The sequence below is a fragment of the Homo sapiens genome, chromosome 1 (assembly GCF_000001405.40).
Source record: "Homo sapiens chromosome 1, GRCh38.p14 Primary Assembly".
In the NCBI taxonomy this organism is placed as follows: Eukaryota; Metazoa; Chordata; class Mammalia; order Primates; family Hominidae; genus Homo; species Homo sapiens.
This window is the reverse complement of record NC_000001.11, coordinates 11,663,450-11,674,364: the sequence shown is the minus strand read 5'-3', so window position 1 is coordinate 11,674,364 and position 10,915 is coordinate 11,663,450. Positions and strand designations below refer to the sequence as shown.

Sequence of the window (10,915 nt, the reverse complement as noted above, 5' to 3'; positions counted from 1 at the left end):
CCCAGGCTGGTTTTACTGAAAACATTTATTTTTTATTTATTTATTATTATTATTATTTTATGAGCCAGAGTCTCGCTCTGTCACCCAGGCTGGAGTGCAGTGGCGTGATCTCGGCTCACTGCAAGCTCTGCCTTCCGGGTTCACGCCATTCTTCTGCATCAGCCTCCCGAGTAGCTGGGACTACAGGCGCCCGCCACCACGCCCGGCTAATTTTTTGTATTTTTAGTAGAGACAGGGTTTCACCGTGTTGGCCAGGATGGTCTCTATCTCCTGACCTCGTGATCCACCTGCCTCGGTCTCCCAAAGTGCTGGGATTACAGGCGTGAGCCACAGTGCCCGGCCTGAAAACATTTATTACAACAAAACGTCAGAGCTATGTGACAGTAAGTTACCACAAGCTGGTAGGGTTGAACCGGGGCAGGAGTCGCTGGTACAGGGACCTCACTGCCCACCCCATGCTCAGCTCCTGCCTGGAGGAACCTCTGGCTGACCCAGACACAGGATGGACAGCTGTCAGAAAATCTGGACAACAGCTCGGTAGGGCGATTGGGCAGCCTCCTCCTGTCCATGCTTCTGCCCAGGCTGAGCCTCGGAGGAGGCCTGGTTCCTGGTCATCTTGGGGCTGACGACAATGCTGCTGTTGGTGACTCGGGGCCCATACCAGCCTGCCCAGTACTGGGTGTCCCTGCCCCCATGCTGGAAGAGGATGTAGCGGACACCCCGGGGGTAGTCTGAGAAGGTGTAGGAGACCTGTTGGGAGGAAGGGAGAGGAAGTGACCACCGGGACGGGGGAGGGGAAGGCAGGAGCCAGGTCCTCTAAGAGAGCTGCCCAGGCTGGAAGGCAACAGCTCCAGGCCAGCAGGGGCACCCTGGGCCCTGAGGCTGCCCTTTGCTTCCTGCCATCCTGGCCCTGGGAGGAGTGGGTAGAGAGAGCAAGTGGGTGAGGCCTCACCTCTGTCCATGTGGCATTGTTCCACTGTTGGATGGTCACAGGTGGGGGCTCGAAGGAGGCCAACACGAAGTAGTCAGCCGAGGCCAGCTGCACTTTGAGTTGGTAGGTGCAGCCACAGTCGGCTCTGGCAGCAAACCTGGTGGAGGGGTTGAGAGCCCTGTGTCCAAGCCACCGAGGGCTGGCCCCAGGGGTGGGGGCAGGTGGGACCTATACATTGGAGCTCGGAGCTTCATCTCCCATCAGCTGACACTGCTCTGCCTGCAAGGCCCAGCTGGCTTCAGCGCTCCCTATGCCCCACTGTGGCCCGGGGATAAGCTGTCTGTCCATGCTGGCCTCTGTTACCCCATCTGAGAAGAGGGACCCTTTTGGGCATCCTACTAAAGATATGACCTCAAAAATCAAAAGACCCCTCCAGAGAGGCCTGGTCTGTCCAAGCCATGTCACCTGTACTTACAATGGACCAGGCTGTGGATTCAGTGGGAGAGTCAAGGGGGTGGCCTGTGTAATGGGGCTGGCACAAAGCTCACCCTCTGCTCAGCCCAGCCACCTCTCCCCCCTGCAGCTCTGCATACCCCTCCATCCTCACCGCTTTATCCTCAGAGTGGCAGCCCTGGGGCCTGCCTAGAACTGGGGTCCTGCTTCTGCCACCGGCCAAGCCAGAGCCTGGCACAGTTCTGTGCACAGAGTAGGAGCTCCAAAAAGAGTCATGGGATGAATAGGGAAAGGGGCAGGGGAGGCAGGTAGGTCAGGGGACCTGGGGGTTCCCACCCAGTCCAGAGAGGGCTGAGGTCCTCTGTTGCCCAAGTGCCTGTCAGTGCACAGTGGCTGGGCACAGTGGCTCACACCTGTAATCCCAGCACTTTGGGAGGCCGAGGTGGGTGGATCACTTGAGGTCAGGAGTTTGAAACCAGCCTGACCAGCATGGTAAGACGCTGTCTGTATTAAAAATATAAAAAAAAATAGCCGGGTGTAGTGGTGGGCACCTGTAATCCCAGCTACTCAGGATGCTGAGGCAGGAGAATCGCTTGAACATGGGAGGCGGAGGTTGCAGTGAGCCAAGATCACGCCACTGCACTCCAGCCTGGGTGACAGAGCGAGACTCCGTCTCAAAAAAAAAAAAAGTGCCTGTCCATGACAGTGCACCTGGGGGCCTCAGCCTCCTCACCTGCACACTGGGGCTACTGTGTCCTGTTGACTACGTCACAGGGTGGTGGGGAGGCCAGGAGGTGCCGCAGGGTGTGGGTGCAGAGCAGGGGCGGAGGCCGGGGCTACCTGGCTCCAGGGCACTGCTGTGCAGAGTGGGCACTTGCTATGGGTTGTCTCACGTACATGCAGCGCAGTAAGAGGAGCATGTAGAGTGTGGGGACACAGGCCATGGACCCTACTCACCAGTCCTTAACCACGATGTCCGGCCGGAATGTGTCTAGTAGCTCCTCCCAGTAGCCCTCGGCTACAAGGTCCACCAGCTGGGACTTGAGGCACATTCTGGGGAGCAGAGTTGGGGGCTTGCATACCTGGGTGTGCTCTGCATGGCCCCCCCCCTCACCCAGGCCTTGGCAGCCCCTGTGAGCCCAGGGAGGTGGTTTGGGGACCTAGGGTACCCCTTGGCCGCTGCGGGACAGGCACTGGCTGGGGCTGACTCTGGCTTTTCCTCCAGTGCAGGAGGGAGTTTGACCCACTTGTGCCTGGGCGGCATTTGATCCCAGTCCAAAGGCCCATTGTTCCAGGGCACTTTTGTAAACTCAAGTTCCTAGCTTACGGACAGATGCCTGTAGATAGCCCTGGCTTATCTTAACTGCCCAATGGACTCCTGGCCTGCTTCAGTGATCCCCACCCCCACTGTCCATTAACACAGCACTGAGTGATTTCAGGAAGCAGTGACTCTGGGCAAGTTTTGGGGCCACCTCCCTCGAGCTTCGCAGAGAGGACTTCCCTTAGGAAGACTTTGCCTGAGACTTGGCAAAGGTGTCCTGACCCTCTGTCCCCTCCACGCAAGCCTGGTAGGTTCAGTTTGCCTTACTCGTAGGATGTGACAAAATACTTCTTGACTTTGGGGTCAGGAAAATCTGTCCCGTGGGCTCCAGGGAGGCTCTCCACCTTCCAGCGGTCCCCACCATTGAAATCAATTTGCCATGCAAACATATCCTCTAGGAAGAACAGAAGCCAAGGTGAGACCCCCTGTGTAAATCCAAAGTCCAGCCCTCCCCACTTAGTCCCAGGAGGGCGGGAGGGAGGGTGGTTGGCGTTAGTGACCTTCTTGGGAGGCAGGACTTGCTCATGCTCAGGTCTCTGCGGCTGTGGACACCAAAGGGTTAACCAGCTTGTTCCTTCTCAAGGGCATTGTGTGGCCAAGGTACCCCACCAGCCCAAGTGTACCCCAACTGCACCTTGGAGCACCCCTACAAAGCACCCCTCCAACACATTCCCAACTGTCCTCACCATATCAGCTCTGATCTGACTCTGTCCCTCCCACTCAGTCCCAAACTGGCCTCACTCCTAACACGCAGCTGGAGAAAAGAATGCGTGTTACCAGAAATTCTAAACCAACCCCTTCCTCACTTCCATGTTGCGGTGGAACTCTGGGAAATACCCAAGTATCAGTTCTCAAAAAATTACGAGAGGCCTGTGAGAGTACTGTCCTCAAAGACTAATGTGAAGCCGGGCACGGTGGCTTGCGCCTGTAATCCCAGCACTTTGGGAGGCCAAGGCAGGTGGATTGCTTGAACCCAGGAGTTCAAGACCAGCCTGGGGAACATAGCGACACCCCCCCCCCCTTTTTTTTTTAATAAGTAAAATAATTTTTTAAAAAAGGCTAACGTGTTCATCCCAACACAGACTGCTTACTTGACCCAGATGGCATCCCAGATGTCCAGGAGGGAGAGGCCCTTGGTTAACTACATAACCCAGGTTGGAGGCCCTAGAGGATGGGTTTGTGGGTTTGTCGGTGGGTCATGGGAACCAAGATTCCCATAGGGCTCAGATGGCCTCTGCCCAGGGCAAGAGTGCCAAGTGGAAGAACAGGTACCCTTTGGGCTGGGCGCTGTGGTAACATTCATGGGTGGGCCTCCATTAGGTGGGCCTGGTGGGTGCAGGGGAGCAATCACCCTCTTCACACTGAACTTAGAGGACCTTAGAAGACAATGGCGCTTCTCTACTGGCGCTGCCCAGGCAATCACCAGGGCACTTTTTTTTTTTTTTTTGAGACGGAGTCTTGCTCTGTTGCCCAGGCTGGAGTGCAGTGGCGCAATCTTGGCTCACTGCAAGCTCCGCCTCCCAGGTTCACGCTATTCTCCTGCCTCAGCCTCCCAAGTAGCTGGGACTACAGGTGCCTGCCACCACGCCCAGCTAATTTTTTTACATTTTTAGTAGAGATGGGGTTTCACCTTGTTGGCCAGGATGGTCTCGATCTCCTGACCTCGTCATCCGCCCGCCTCAGCCTCCCAAAGTGTTGGGATTACAGGCGTGAGCCACCGCCCCCGGCGGTGTGGTGGCTCACGCCTGTAATCCCAGCACTTTGGGAGGCCGAGGCAGGCAGATCACCTGAGGTCAGGAATTCGAGACCAGCCTGGCCAACATGGCAAAACCTCATCTCTACTAAAAGTACAAAAATTAGCTGGGCATGGTGGTGGGCGCCTGTAATCCCAACTACTTGTGTGTGTGTGTGTGTGTGTGTGTATGTATATGTATATATGTATACACATATATGTATACATATGTATATATACGTATATATGTGTACATATATACATGTGTATATGTATACACGTGTATATATGTATACATGTGTATATACGTATATGTATACATATGTGTGTGTGTGTATATGTGAAGGTGTCACTGTGGATGCTATAGTGTGGCAAACAAGGTCCATTTGGCCCCTGGAGCTTGAAGTTTGTAGCAGAAAAAAATAAGGAAATTCTGAAAAAAAAATTTTTTTTTTTTTTTTGAGACTAAAAGTTTCACTCTTGTCACCCAGGCTGGAGTGCAATGGAGCCATCTCGGCTCACCGCAACCTCTGCCTCCCAGGTTCAAGTGATTCTCCTGCCTCAGCCTCCCAAGTAGCTGGGAATTGTAGGCGTGGGCCAGCATGCCCAACTTTGTGTGTTTTTAGTAGAGACAGGGCTTTGCCATTTTGACCAGGCTGGTCTCTAACTCCTGAGCTCAGGTGATCCGCCCATCTCGGCCTCCCAAAGTGCCGGGATTACAGGCGTGAGCCACCGCGCCTTGTGAAAAGTGTTACAGGGCATGAAATGGGGGTGCTATGCTAGAGGTGGAGAGGGCTGTTTTTAGATTGGGAGCACAGGGCAGGTCTCTGAACTGAGACCTGAAGAATGAGAAGGAACCAAGGAAGTGAGGTGGGTGTTTAGGGTTAGAGAATATTCCAGGTAGTGTGGGAATTGCAAGTGCCAAGGCCCAAGGATGAGAAGGAACGAGCCTGGTGGCAGCCTCCACCCTGCCCCCATGCCACCTTCAGCACACGGGTTGCGCAGGAGGTTCCTATGCAGGCTCCGTAGGAAGTAGAAGATTTTCCAGTCGGCCACGGGCTGGTCCCAGTCCTTGGTGATGAAGCCCTCTCGCAGGCACTTGCGTTTCCAGAGGGTCATGAGGTCGATGAGGTCCCGCCAGAGGCTGCAGACCAGGCGGCAGTTCAGCAGCAGCTGGCGGGCGGGCACGTGCGTGAACAGCTCCAGCAGGATGTTCTCGGGCAGCTCGTTAATGCTGTCCAGGGCTGCTTTGGAGTGGGGAGCATCCATGGCCTGTGGGGGCAACAGCAGTTATGAGCCTGACCAGGGAGGTGGGCCCTCAGGTCCCCAGGGAACCAGGCCAGGGACTCCTCTCCAACCCTGCATTAGCCAGGTGTGGTGGCACATGCCTGGAGTCCCAGGTACTTGGGAGGCTGAGGCAGAGGATCCCTTGAGCCTGGGAATTCAAGGCTACAGTGACCTATGATCGCGCCACTGCACCCCTGCCCGGGCAACCAAGCAAGACTCTGGCTAAAAAAAAAAAAAAACCCACAAAAGAGCATTTCTGAGGCTGAGGGTCCTTCCAGTAAACAGTAGCCCCTCAGTGGAAAGAGTAGTCATGGGACACACATTCAGAAGAGTGCAATACAAATAGTAAAGTCTTTAGAGACACATTTTTTAAAAGGCCCCTCCCCAATTTAAAAAAAATTGCTTAATTTTAAAGCCAGTGGGTTGTGTGGACTGTAAGATTTTGTGGAGGCCACACTTGTCTGCAAAGTTCTGTGAGGGTTTTGGTGATTGTTATTTTAATGCTCTGGATTCACTGTTAGAATATAAAATCTTTTTTTTTTTTTTTTTGAGACAGAGTCTTGCTCTGTCACCCAGGCTGGAGTGCAGTGGTGCAATCTCGGCTCACTGCAACCTCCGCCTCCTGGGTTCAAGCGATTCTCCTGCCTCAGCCTCCCGAGTAGTTGGGACTATAGGCGCATGCCACCATACCCAGCTAATTTTCTGTATTTTTAGTAGAGACGGGGTTTCATCGTGTTAGCCAGGATGGTCTCAATCTCCTGACCCCATGATCCGCCCACCTCGGCCTCCCAAAGTGCTGGGATTACAGGCGTGAGCCACCGTACCCGGCCAGAATATAAAATCAGTTTTACATCCCAGACTCATTAATGTTCATTTAGTGGTGAGCTAGCGCTGAGAAACCACCTTCCTATCTCCAGAAGCTTACTTTGGCCTGGAAGTCACATGTGATAAAACAACCCCATGGGAATCCCCCACGGCACCCGGCTGAGCTGTCTTTGGTGTCAGGCCAGAATCCACTTGGAGATGGCCGGAAAAAAAAAATCAGATGGAGGGTGGCTGAGAAGACTGCCTGGGTTTGAATCCTGGTCTGCAGTGACCAGTTGGGAAGCTGTGAAAAGGAGGGGGTAACTGTCCCGACCCTGGAAGGGCCAGGAGGACCAAGTGAAGCACAGAGCTTCAGTCAGCATTGCTGTCAGCACAAACCGGCTCTCAACACTGTCCTCCTTGTACCTCTGCACTGCGCACGGGTTCTGGAAAACTTCAAGCAGTGCCACAGCCCTGGCCTGAATCTGTTACCTGGGGGCACCTGGTTAGTCCTCTTAAGGGGATCCCAGGTACTTGCCCCAGGTAGGTGGGGGTTGGCCGGCAGCCAGGGCTCTGCACTGTCACTCAGGTGGGCCTCATCTGCTTACACATGAGGAGAGAATGTTCTCCACCTACAAGCAGGGAAACAGAACCTTGCTGGCCTCTTTTTTTTTTTCTTCCCCCCCACCCCGAGACAGTTTCACTCTTGTTGCCCAGGCTGGAGTGCAATGGCGTGATCTCGGCTCACTGCAATCTCCACCTCCTGGGTTCAAGCAATTCTCCAGCCTCAGCCTCTCAAGTAACTGTGATTACAGGTGCCCGCCACCACACCCAGCTAATTTTTGTATTTTTAGTAGAGACAGGGTTTCACCATGTTGGCCAGGCTGGTTTTGAACTCCTGACCTCAGGTGATCCACCCGCCTCAGCCTCCTGAAGTCTGGGATTACAGGTGTGAGCCACTGTACCCAGCCTTTTGCTGTGGCCTCTTCTGATTTTCCATAGAGGCTTGGCCAAAGCAGCAGTTCATGGTCTTCTGAAGGCTCCCATCTCAGAAAACAGGAGGGTGGGTGCATGCTCACTTCTGCCCAGGGAGGAACACTTTACATGGCAGAGAAAACAGGTGAGGTACTTGTGCCTCGTGAAAAATGCTTTGCAGGCCGGGTGCGGTGGCTCAAGCCTGTAACCCCAGCCCTTTGGGAGGCCGAGGGGTGCGGATCACAAGGTCAGAAGTTCGAGACCAGCCTGGCCAACACAGTGAAACCCCATCTCTACTAAAAATACAAAAAAATTAGCCAGGCGTGGTGGTGTGCACCTGTAATCTCAGCTACTCAGGAGGCTGAGGCAGGAGAATCGTGTGAACCTGGGAGGCGGAGGTTGTGGTGAGCCGAGATTGCACCACTGCACTCCAGCCTGGGTGACAGTACAAGGCACCGTCTCAAAAAAAAAAAAAAAGAAAAGAAAAAAGGCTTTGCAACCTTGGCAACACAGGGAGGCCCCGTCTCTATAAATAGTGAAAAAATTCGCCGGGCATAGTGGCGAGTGCCTATGGTCCTAGCTACTTGGGAGGTTATGGCGTCAGGATCTTCTGAGCCCAGGAGGTCAAGGCTGCAGTAGCTCACAGGTGTGAGCCACCGAACCCAGCCCCTCAGATTTTTCTACCTTACAGTCCATGAGGCCTGCCGAGGTCACACTCTAGGGAAAGAAGGAGCCTGCTGGAGCAGAGTGAGCCATGATTGCTCCATGGCACTCCAGCCTGGGCAACAGAGCAAAACTGTCTCAAAAAAAAAAAAAAAAAAAAAGAGAAAAGAAAAATGCTTTGATGGAAAAAAAAAATAACAAAAAAACCCAATGTGGCCAAGTCTTCTAAGTTCTGAGAAGCAACTGTAAGCATTTGAAAAAAAATGTAAAAGTTGTCAATTAAAAATGCTTGTAGTCTAGGCAACATAGTGAGACTCTGTCTCTAGAAAAAAAGAAATTAGGTCGGGTGCACAGACTCAGGCCTGTATTCCCAGCACTTCGGTAGGCCGAGGCGGGCGGATCACAAGATCAGGAGTTCGAGACCAGCCTGGCCAATATGGCGAAACCCCGTCTCTACTAAAAATACAAAAATTAGCTGGGCGTGGTGGCGGACGCCTGTAGTCCCAGCTACTCGGGAGGGTGAGGCAGGAGAATCACCTGAACCCGGGAAGCGGAGGTTGCAGTGAGCCGAGATCGTGCCACTGCACTCCAGCCTGGGCAACAGAGTGAGAATCTGTCTCAAAAAAAAAAAAAAAAAAAAAAAAGGCCGGGCGCGGTGGCTCACGCCTGTAATCCCAGCACTTTGGGAGGCCGAGGTGGGCGGATCACGAGGTTAGGAGATCGAGACCGTCCTGGCTAACACAGTGAAACTCCATCTCTACTAAAAATACAAAAAATTAGCCGGGCTTGGTTGCAGGTGCCTGTAGTCCCAGCTACTCGAGAAGCAGGTGCCTGTAGTCCCAGCTACTCGGGAGGCTGAGGCAGGAGGACGGCCTGAACCCGGGAGGCGGAGCTTGCAGTGAGCTGAGATCGCGCCACTGCACTCCAGCCTGGGCGACAGAGCGACACTCCGTCTCAAAAAAAAAAAAAAAAAAAAAAAAAAAGAAATTAGCTAGGCCTGGTGGCCCGTGCCTGTAGTCCCAGCTATGCAGGAGGCTGAGGCAGGAGGAACGCTTGAGCCCAGGAAGTCGAGGCTGCAGTGAGCCGTGATCATGCCACTGCACTCCAGCCTGGGTGACAGAGCAAGACTCTGCCATAAATAAATAAATAAATAAATGCTGGCAGCTTCTAAAGGCACTGTCTAGACTCTAGACGAAATAAAAGTCACTGGGCTCCAAGCTAGAGGCATCTAGGCACCAATAGCTTCCCACCGTGGTGACCGAAGTCTGGTCTCTGGCCCAGTCCGCATTTTCTTGCGCCCCTTCCCCCCCCCGGCCCTGGGCATTTTGTGGTGGGGAAGTCCATGCCAGCCCTAGGAAGCCCTCTCACACCGATCGGGGTCCCCAACTGCCCGGCCCGGCGTCTCGTGCTCGCCTTCTCCGCACCCACCCTCCCAGCAAGCTCTAGTGGCATTGTTACTTCACCGGTTTCTCGGAAACAGAAACTGTGGCTGGGGCAAGGCAAGCGCCGGATCTCGCAGGCGTGTGGGGGCCTGGAGGTCCCTTGACAGTTCTCCGAACCCGGCGCCGGCCTCGGGATGTGGCCGGGGTGGAGGCGGCCGCAGAGCCTCCGCCTGGGTGGCCCCGGGGCCAGGCCCCCAGTCGAAGTCCGGGCCCAGCCGCCCGCGCCCCCCACCCCTGGCCGCCCGGACCAGCGCCCGCAGGCTCCGTGAACGCCCAGGCGCCGGAGACCCCGGCTCCCCACTCGCCCGCCGCCCGTCCCCCCGGGGACGCGACCTGGGCGCAGCGGCGGAGCTCCAGGTCGGCCCGAGCCTACGGCCTCGGCTTCGTTGTCGCTGGGCCCCGCCGCCGCGTCACGCGCTGCGCTCGGTCCCCACCCCCGCCCCGGACCCCGCTGCCGTCCCTCTCGGCCCGGCCCCTAACCCTCGCCGCGGGAAGACGAACCTGGGATCCCCAGGGCCCGGGCCCTCGCTGCGGCCTGCGTGTCCTGAAGCTGTCTCCCCCTCCAGGCGGCGGGCGGCTCAGCACCCACACCTGCACCCGCCTCCTACGCAGGGCCGAAGCTCCCGAACGCGCGGCCGCTCCCCGGACCTCCGCACTAGTTCCTTCCTTATGCGGCCCAGGGCTCCACCCTTGACCCGCGGTCCCCTCCCTAGAGGCAGGACCTGACACCCAGTGGGCTCCTTCTTTCCCTAGGGCGTGACCTCCGCAGGCTTCATAGACTCAAAGGTAAAAAACCTGAGGTGCTAGGAGGTGGCTAACGCCTGTGATCCCAGCACTTTGGGAGGCCGAGGTGGGGAGGATCGCTTGAGGTCAGGAGTTCGAGACCAGCCTGGCCAACATGGCAAAAACCCTGTCTCTACTAAATATACAAAAATTAGCCGGGCGTGGTGGCACAGGTCTATAATCCCAGCTCCTCCGGAGGCTGAGGTGGGAGAATCGCTTGAACCTGGGAGGCTGCAGTGAGTGGAGACTGTACCACTGCACTGCAGCCTGGGCGACAGAGCCAGACCTTGTCTCAAAAAATAAAAAACCTCTGAGGTTTTTTATCAGGATTAAGTTCATGAATTTCTTCCATCAGTCAACAAATATTTAGCAAGCACCTTGTTCAGGCAACCACCAAGGGTTGTGCAGGCTGTGTACTGCACAAGGGGACTGGCCCAGGACACATTAATTGCAGTCAGGGCTACATGTTCTCCGTGGAAGGCCGTCCTTTTGCAGTTTGCCATGGGCTGGTGGGTGGTGATCCT

General features: G+C 55.3%; 1 protein-coding gene across 5 annotated transcripts, besides 5 other annotated features; it reads right to left on the bottom strand.

The window, feature by feature from the left end:
• Positions 11-10,165, bottom strand: FBXO6 (F-box protein 6). 5 transcript variants are annotated; one of them, XM_005263448.6, is made up of 6 exons: positions 9,942-10,165; positions 5,421-5,709; positions 2,973-3,099; positions 2,342-2,437; positions 953-1,088; positions 11-750 (listed from the first exon to the last, which is right to left on the bottom strand). In XM_005263448.6, exons 2-6 carry the CDS (start codon positions 5,704-5,706, stop codon positions 514-516), a joined length of 882 nt encoding a protein of 293 aa, XP_005263505.1. In that variant the 5' UTR covers positions 5,707-5,709; positions 9,942-10,165; the 3' UTR covers positions 11-513. The 5 variants fall into 5 exon arrangements, with proteins under 5 accessions (XP_005263505.1, NP_060908.1, XP_005263508.1 ...); NM_018438.6 differs by having other exon boundaries at positions 10,110-10,165; XM_005263451.6 differs by lacking the exon at positions 9,942-10,165 and adding an exon at positions 9,630-9,730.
• Positions 6,628-6,777: an enhancer, noted in NCBI's record as "active region_170". NCBI's record gives its function as "activates an Ori minimal core promoter by ATAC-STARR-seq in GM12878 lymphoblastoid cells {active_cell/tissue: GM12878}" and the evidence as "EXISTENCE:reporter gene assay evidence [ECO:0000049][PMID:35858748]".
• Positions 6,808-6,867: an enhancer, noted in NCBI's record as "active region_169". NCBI's record gives its function as "activates an Ori minimal core promoter by ATAC-STARR-seq in GM12878 lymphoblastoid cells {active_cell/tissue: GM12878}" and the evidence as "EXISTENCE:reporter gene assay evidence [ECO:0000049][PMID:35858748]".
• Positions 9,590-9,639: an enhancer, noted in NCBI's record as "active region_168". NCBI's record gives its function as "activates an Ori minimal core promoter by ATAC-STARR-seq in GM12878 lymphoblastoid cells {active_cell/tissue: GM12878}" and the evidence as "EXISTENCE:reporter gene assay evidence [ECO:0000049][PMID:35858748]".
• Positions 9,760-9,829: a silencer, noted in NCBI's record as "silent region_269". NCBI's record gives its function as "represses an Ori minimal core promoter by ATAC-STARR-seq in GM12878 lymphoblastoid cells {active_cell/tissue: GM12878}" and the evidence as "EXISTENCE:reporter gene assay evidence [ECO:0000049][PMID:35858748]".
• Positions 9,880-10,099: a silencer, noted in NCBI's record as "silent region_268". NCBI's record gives its function as "represses an Ori minimal core promoter by ATAC-STARR-seq in GM12878 lymphoblastoid cells {active_cell/tissue: GM12878}" and the evidence as "EXISTENCE:reporter gene assay evidence [ECO:0000049][PMID:35858748]".

Bases quoted from the DNA above. Each gene is read 5' to 3' on its own strand.
- FBXO6 (XM_005263448.6), bottom strand. From the start codon at position 5,706: ATGGATGCTCCCCACTCCAAAGCAGCCCTGGACAGCATTAACGAGCTG. The intron at 3,100-5,420 runs GTGGCATGGGGG...TGTTCTTCCTAG, and splicing joins GCGCAACCCGTGTGCTGAAG to AGGATATGTTTGCATGGCAA. The intron at 1,089-2,341 runs GTGAGTAGGGTC...CCCCTCCACCAG, and splicing joins GACATCGTGGTTAAGGACTG to GTTTGCTGCCAGAGCCGACT.